Here is an 8,134-nt window from a genome sequence, read left to right as displayed (position 1 = left end):
AATCTCGTTTTACAGATGAGTAAAACTGAGGCTCAAAGAGGTAAAATCACTCACTGAGGGGCATAGAGCTATGAATGCTGGAGCTCTATTCACCCCTTTATGTGTCTCTCCCTGGAGTAAGTTTCCTTTTACACCTTATTATGGCATAGTATGCTAGTGGCAGAGGAAGCCACAGGATGACGGCATGCTTCTATTTGCTTGTTTATTTATTTATTTACTTATTGAAATGGAGTCTCACTCTGTCACCCAGGTTGAAGTGCAGTTGCACAAACTTGGCTCACTGCAACCTCCGTCTCCCAAGTTCAAGCAATTCTCCTGCCTCAGCCTCCAGAGTAGCTGGGATTACAGGCACACACCACCACGTCCGGCTAATTTTTTTTGTATTTTTAGTAGAGATGGGGTTTCATCATGTTGGCCATGCTGGTCTCGAACTTCTGACCTCAGGTGATTCACTCACCTTGGCCTCCCAAAGTGCTGGGATTACAGGCATGAGCCACTGCCCCTGACCGACTGCATACTTCTAGAACATCATCTTTACCAGCTTAAAGTATTATTACCTAGAATGCAAATTCATATAATTTTTAAAGACTAGACAAATTTCTGAGACTTTTCCAGTCTGTGCTGCTACCTCAGATGACATATTTATCCTCCTTCTCTGCTCTTCGGGATAATGGAGTGAAAAATGTTGAAGAGTATGTGATATCTCATGCTACTTCCTGATATGGCACAAATCCCTGTATTTAGCCAAAAGTTGCCTCCCTGGAATGCTCACCACTGTGTCCTTAACTAAGTCTTCTTTTCTCTCTGCTGAACTTGGCAGTAAATAGTTTATAGTTTGACAATGTCTTCTATAAATTCTGGGGTTGAGAATTGAGCACACTATTCCAGACATTCCTTAGCAAACCTAAACACAGAGGATCCTGTTGTGCTCTTGGCCTAAGGTGGGATTAACTTTTGTAGTAGATACCCCACTTTACTAGTTCATGCAGATCTCAGGGCCAACTAAATCCCAGATCATTTTTGTGTAAATTCTTGACACCTGGTATCCCTTCTTCATTCTGAGCCCAAACATAGGATTTATATATATGCCCATTAAAATATCTTCTACTTGGTTTTAGTCCACCAAAAGTCCATTTTCTCCCTACTTTTTATTATGGTATGCTTCCAACTTATTCAAAAGCAGAGAGAATAGTGATATAATGAATCTGCATAAACCCATCACCTTCATGAAATTCATCAATTTTCAGCTCATGGACGACCTTGTTTTGTGAAGACGCTTGTTCACTTATGACGCTGCATCTCTCCTGCCCTGAATGTTTTCAATTAAGCAAGTCCTAGACCTCATACCACTTCACTTGTATTGCAGTATGTATCTCTAAAAGATAAGGATTCTTTTAAAAACATACTTATAAGATCATTATCACACCAAAATAAATTAACAATACTTTTTTTCTTTTTTCTTTTTTTTTTTTTTTTTTTTGAGACAGGGTCTCCCTTTGTTGTCCAGGTTGGAGTGCAGTGGCACGATCTCGGCTCACTGCAACCTTCTCCTCCCAGGCTCAAGTGATCGTTCAGCCTCAGACTCCCAAGTAGCTGGGACTACAAGCAGGAGCCACTATGCCCAGCTAATTTTTGCATTTTTTATAGAGACAGGGTTTCACCATATTGCCCAGGTTGCTCTCGAACTCCTGAGCTCAAACTATCTGCCCACCTTGGCCCCCCAAAGTGCTAGGAATATAGGTGTGAGCCACTGCACCCAGCCAACAATACTTTCTTAATATTGTCAAATATCTAGTGTTCAAATTATCTCAATTGTTTTTGTTTAAATTAGGATTCATTATGGATATGTCTTTTAAGTCCCTATTAATTAGGGTTTCTCCTTCATCTCTCCTTTTTTTCTCTTGAGTTTTTGTTATTAAAAAAAAAAGTTTCCTTGTTGTTGGTTAAGTTTCTCAAATCATAAACTTTACTGATTGTATTCCCAGTAGTGTCATCTAACATGTTACTCTGTCTCCTTTTTTTCCCTATAAATTGGCAGTAGAATTCAGAGGCTTGATCAGATTCGGTTTCAATTTTTTAATATACCTTTTTTTTACTATGACAAAATATATGTAACACACAATTTACCATCTAAACTGTTTTAAGTGTATATTTCACTGGCATTAAGTATATTTGCAATGTACAACAATCACCACCATCTACTTTCAGAACTTGTTGATCTTGTTGATCATCCCAAACAGAAACCCTGCATCCAGTAAACAACAACTCCCATTCTCTGCTCCCCCAGCCCCGGCACCCACCAGTCTACTTTCTGTCTCTACGAATTTGACTAGTCTAGGTGTATCCTTTAAGTGGAATCATACAGTATTTGTCCTTTTGTGTTCAGCATATTTCACTTGGCATAATATTTTCAGGATTCATCCATGTCGTGGCAGGTATCAGAATTTCATTGTGTGACTGACATATTTTGCTTATCCATTCATTGGTGGATGGGACAATTGGGTTGTGATTTTGATTTTTTGACAAAAACACTTTTATAAAAATCACATAATGTCCGTACATCTCTCATTAAAGTCTCTTAAATATTAATTTTATTTTATTTTTATTATTTTATTTATTTATTTGAAATGGAGTCTTACTCTGTCACCCAGGCTGGAGTGCAGTGGCTTGATCTCAGCTCACTGTAACGTCCGCCTTCCGCGTTTAAGCGATTCTCCTGCATCAGCCTCCCGAGTAGCTGGGAATATAGGTGCCTGCCACCATACCCAGCTAATTTTTGATTTTTAAGTGAGAGAGGGTTTCACCATGTTGTTCAGGCTGGTCTTGAACTCCTGACCTCAGGTGATCTGCCTGTCTTGGCCTCCCAAAGTGCTGGGATTACAGGTGTGAGCCACCACACCAGAACTTCAATCTTGATTTTATCATTGAATCCCCAAATATAGGTTTTCTGGACCTCTGTGTGTTTGGTGCACTCCTCATTTTCCTCTGCCTTCTGCTTTTGCTGCTCCCCCTTTCTCACAAACCTTTCACCTGTGCTCACTATTCCATATCACCCGCTGCTTGAAACATCCTCCTCCCACCTTAGGGAGCAGCCAGCACTCTTTCCTGAGACCTGCTCCTTCTGGCCCATCTCCCTCATCTGTCTCCCTTGCTCTCTCACAGCTCCACTTGCTCCAGGCTGTGGGTGGATTCCAGGGCTGACTGGCTCCCTCACAGCTCCTCATTGCAGCTTTTGGTCTTTTGTTGCTTTTTTCCGACTTGTTGCTCCTTTTCCCTATGGTGCTGCCTTCTCCTCTGAGGCTTGTGCCATCCAGTAAACGCCTCTGCCTTTCCCAGCTGTGGTTGTTCCTTCCCCAGCATTCCCTGGCGACTTGGGTCCTGGCTCAGTATCTTTCTCTTACCTCACTTTTTTTTTTTGTCTTCATGACTGACCTCAGTGTCCCTGAGAACATTGACTGTACACAGTAGCATCATTGCTTTTTCATTCCTCACCTTGCCAACTCTGGTGACCTTCATCCCCGCTCCACCTCAGCCACCCTACCCTGTAGCCATACTCTGGCGAATGTCAGCACTGCCTGGTTTCATCTCTGAAGACTTCGCATTCAATATCCCTTGCTTTGACACCAGTTTCCTCCTGTCTGCCTCCTTCCTGCTTTCCCCTCCATCTTCTCCCCATTAGTCAGTGGCTACTGGATTCACAGCTTCCCTTTTAACTTAGGCCACTTGGTTGATCACCAAAATAATTCTCTTATTGATGCTCCTGCTTCTGTGGAGCTCTGACCCTCCTGCCAGAAGCATTCAGCCAAACCCCAAATGTGGTCACTGCTACAGCCCTCTCCTCCAGCACTCCGGCTTCTGAGCACTATTGGAGGATGCCACACGACTGTGCAGATTGGGGTTACCCTAGTATCACAGCACCTCAGCCCGAATCCCTGTGCCACCTGAGACTCCTCCTGTAAACCGCTGACCAGCTCTTGCTCTTATTCCACTCGGCAATTCTTCCTCAGTTTCCTCCTCCTCCACATCCTGTATTGTTACTTTTGGGAGAAAATAGAGTTTCTGCCCCTAGCGTGATTCCCCTGTGGTTCTTGCACCCTTGTGTACAATTTTCCTCCATCTGTACCCACCTGTACCCCCTTCCTTCATGTTAGGGGCCACAAGACCCTTATTATTTGGAGGCCATAGTGGCTCCCAGCATCTCGGACTAAACAGAGTGGCCAAATGGCAAGGCAGGCAGGGCTGAGAGAGGGTAAGGGGAGGAAGGAGAGGGAAGGGAGAAACAGAAAGCCAGTATGAATGTTGGAGAAGTGGCGGCAGAGAGAATAAAAGTGGGAGAAGTACATAGCCCCTCCCTCAAATATTCTGAGGGTTTTTTGTGGGTTTGCCTCTGAGTGCTCTCTCTGTGACCTTATCTTTCCTCTCTTCCCTCCAAGCACTGGGGGCAGATTGCTCTACCCAGTGCCTTGTAAATAAGTCATGAAGGTAATGTTTACAAAAGGCTTCACACTCTGTCGTGCAAATGCCCACACAGAAACCCTGGCCCATGGGTCCTGGTGGGGAAGGTAGACCTGTGCTGCCAGGGGTGGTGGTGAGATCTGGCCCATGGTTCCTGGTGGGGAAGGTAGACCTGTGCTCCCAGGGGTGGTGGTGAGATCTGGCCCATGGGTCCTGGTGGGGAAGGTAGACCTATGCTCCCAGGGGTGGTGGGGGGATCTGGCACTCACACTGTGGTCTACTAAATGAGGGATATGCAGACTCTTCCATCTTCAAGCTCTTGATACTTTGTTGTCATGAAGAATCCACAGAGGAAGGGAACCCTATGGAAGTCGGCTGATAACATTTTATCTCTTTATGGAAGTCTGCTGATACGTTTTATCTCTTTCTTGGCATAGTTAGAGAGCCTCAGCAAGAAACTTCTGCAATGTATGTGTTTTGTAAATGGATTTGTTTTCTCTCCTCTTTTTTCATCAAATGATTGTTTACATTTACGAGTTTTTATCTTTCCATTCATGTGCTAATAAATAGACCTTGGGAATCCTGAGATACAAAGTATACTAGCCATACCGGAGGGTCACCTTTTCTACAACCTTCTGTCTAGGGAAAATCTTCCCTCCACGGCTACCGCCCCTCACCCCAAACACACACAGAATTATCCTCTAGCTGGCCAGTGGCTCATGCCTGTAATCGCAGCACTTTGGGAAGCTGAGACAGGCAAATCACTGGAGCCCAAGAGTTCAAGACCAGCCTCTGCCACATAGTGAGATTCCGTCTCTAAAAAGAAGAAGAAAAAAAAGCAAAACAACAAAAAAAACCCACAATTATTCTCTAGCATCCAGCTGTACCTTTCAGCTTTTATTTGTGTCCTTTCATAGTGAGGAGTCCACTGCCTGAGGAGAAAGTCTATTTCACTGCTGGGCAGTACTGCTCATCGTTAGAAAGTTCTTCTGAGGTTATCTAGTTGTACCATCTTGGGTGAGTCACTTCCCCTATCTGGGCTATAGTTTCCCATATGAAAATGAAGCAGTTGAACCAGACCTGACCTCCTAATTCTAAGCTTCTCTGTCCTTTGAATCAATACAAGTTTATTCTCCTGGTTTTCTTCCTTGGTCATTAATTACTCCTTCTTATTCTCCTTCTCTTCTACCCAGCTTTTAAATATTGGTTTTCCTCAGGCTTGCTCTACTTCTCATGTTATATTTACCACTTTTCTGTCCTCCACTTGAAGCCATGGTAATTTTATACATTCCCACAGCTTTAAATGGTACCCCATGTGAAGAATTCTCCAAGTCAGATCTCATCCAGGCACTCCACTGCGATATCTCTCAAGCCTTTCCACCTTGAAATTCCCCAACTAGATTCTTGATCTTCTCTCCACCTGCTTCTGATCTCGGCTTTAAAGTCTCAGGGAGTGGCTCAAGCCAGAAGGCTGAGTTTCATATTGTTCTTTTCCTTAACCTGCCACACCAATCTGTCAGCGTGGTCTACTGGCTGCACTGAACACATATTTCCCCAGACTGTCCACTCTACTACATCTCACCTGCCTCAGCCTGGGACTAAGCCACAGCTTCTCTTGCCTGGGCATTAGCTATGATCACCTTCTGGATTCCCTACCTGTCCCCCTCCTCCAGGCCATTCTTGGCAACACCACCAAGATGAAATTGGAATCACATCCTTCCTCTGTGTAAAATGCTTTAAAAGCTTTCCATTGTGCCTAGAACAAAATCCAAAGTCCTTAATGCAGTCCATAATCCCTGCGTGCTCTGAGCTCACCTTGGCCCCCGAGCTCATCCTAGATGCTCAGGCCACTGTGGCCTTCTCTCCACCCTGCCTCATGCCATTCATATGGGCTGTTTCACCTGGAATTCTCCTCCTTGTGTGCTTGCTTTAGCTGTGTCCTTCTTACCTTTTGGGTTTAAGCTACAACCATTTTTTTTTTTTTTTTTAAGACAGAGTTTCACTCTTGTTGCCCAGGCTGCAGTGCAATGGCACGATCTTGGCTCACTTCAAACTCCACCTCTCTGGTTCAAGCGATTCTCCTGCCTCAGCCTCCCGAGTGTCTGGGATTACAGGCATGCACCACCCCACCTGGCTAATTTTGTATTTTTAGTAGAGATGGGTTTTCTCCATGTTGGTTAGGCTGGTCTCGAACTCGTGACCTCAGGTGATCTACCTGCCTCAGCCTCTCAAAGTGCTGGGATTACAGGCATGGGCCACTGCGCCCGGCCTTACAAACATTGTTAAGAGAGGCCTCATGTGGTTCGCTGATTAACTCTACTAACCCTATGACTTTAGAGAAATGATTTTACCACTCAAAGCTTCTGTTCTTTTAATCTATAAAATGAAGATGACAATATTTATCTGGCAATATTGTCAGGATTAAATAAATTTGTTTGTTCATTCCTGTATACATACATACATACAACCAATAAGTATTTACTGACTGCTTCCAAGGTGCTGTACCTGGAATGGAGGGTACAGAGATGCAGGTACATATGTAGAGTGCTAGCGCAGGGCTTGGTACAAAGCAGGTGTCTAAGGAATGTCTGTTCCCTTAGGGACGATTTAACACTCAGCTGGTCTCTGAAAACACTTTGCACTTCCTCCTGGAGAGTTTATATTTACAGTTTTCCAACCAGCTCCTATCATGGCATAGTAGTATTTATAGAGTGCTCATTATGGGCCAGGAGTTCTGTATATATCACCTAGGGTGGTGATGACAGCCCCATAAGGGAGGCATTACCATTGCCCACACCTTACTGATGAAGATGAAGCTTTCAGAGCTCACAGATCTGTCAGAGTTCTTCTAGCTAGTGACAAACAGGTGAGCCCTGGGCCCCACCGATTTGAAACTTGCCCTACTCTCTACAAAGCTGTGCTGCCTCCTGAATGCTTCATTGCCTATTCTCATGACTGGGCTTTTCTGAAATTAAAGGAAACAAATGCTCACCATAAATGGTGAACACTTAAGAACAACAACAAAAACCTGAACATTACCTCGTTCCTATAACCTAACGCTTATCACCTCACATTCATTTCCCATAAGGACAGCACTTTGGGGACCCAAACAGCTTCCTCGTCTGGCGATTGTCAATGGATAGCATGGAAGAGTGGCCTGGATGGCCATAGAGGTGCTGACCCTCCTTGCTGGTCACGTAGCCCTGTGACTCAGGTTTTTCATCTAGAAATTGAGGCCCTGGGTTCTTAGCTTCGACCTGTTTCTCAAGGACATTGTGAGGATAGGGTTTGCGAAGTGTTTTATCTTGTTCTGGGTCCCTCAGTCACATAAACGGAGCCCTCTGGCTTCCATCCCAAGTCACAGTGATATTGTCTTATTGTGGTTAAAACTGAGTTAGGCCAAATTATCTCTGAGGTTCCTCCCAAGTCTGAGCCCCTATAGTTCACCCATGTAATTATCGACTGTCTCTATAAGTTTTCTGTGGATGTCTGGAGATCAAAAGGAAGAGATTACCTTACTTGTATTTTTGGACCATTCTGAAGAATAATAATAAGAGTAGTGGATATTGTTAGTTGCTTACTGAGTTCCAGGAACCATGTTTGATACTTAAGAATCACCTCACTTAAGGTTTGTAACAATTCATATTATATTGATGGGGGAACTGAGACCCAGAGAGAT

General features: G+C 44.0%; 1 annotated feature.

Moving 5' to 3' along the window:
* Positions 5,289-5,368: an enhancer, noted in NCBI's record as "active region_27946". NCBI's record gives its function as "activates an Ori minimal core promoter by ATAC-STARR-seq in GM12878 lymphoblastoid cells {active_cell/tissue: GM12878}" and the evidence as "EXISTENCE:reporter gene assay evidence [ECO:0000049][PMID:35858748]".

The sequence above is a fragment of the Homo sapiens genome, chromosome 8 (assembly GCF_000001405.40).
Source record: "Homo sapiens chromosome 8, GRCh38.p14 Primary Assembly".
NCBI lineage: Eukaryota > Metazoa > Chordata > Mammalia > Primates > Hominidae > Homo > Homo sapiens.
This window is presented reverse-complemented; position numbering and strand designations above follow the sequence as displayed.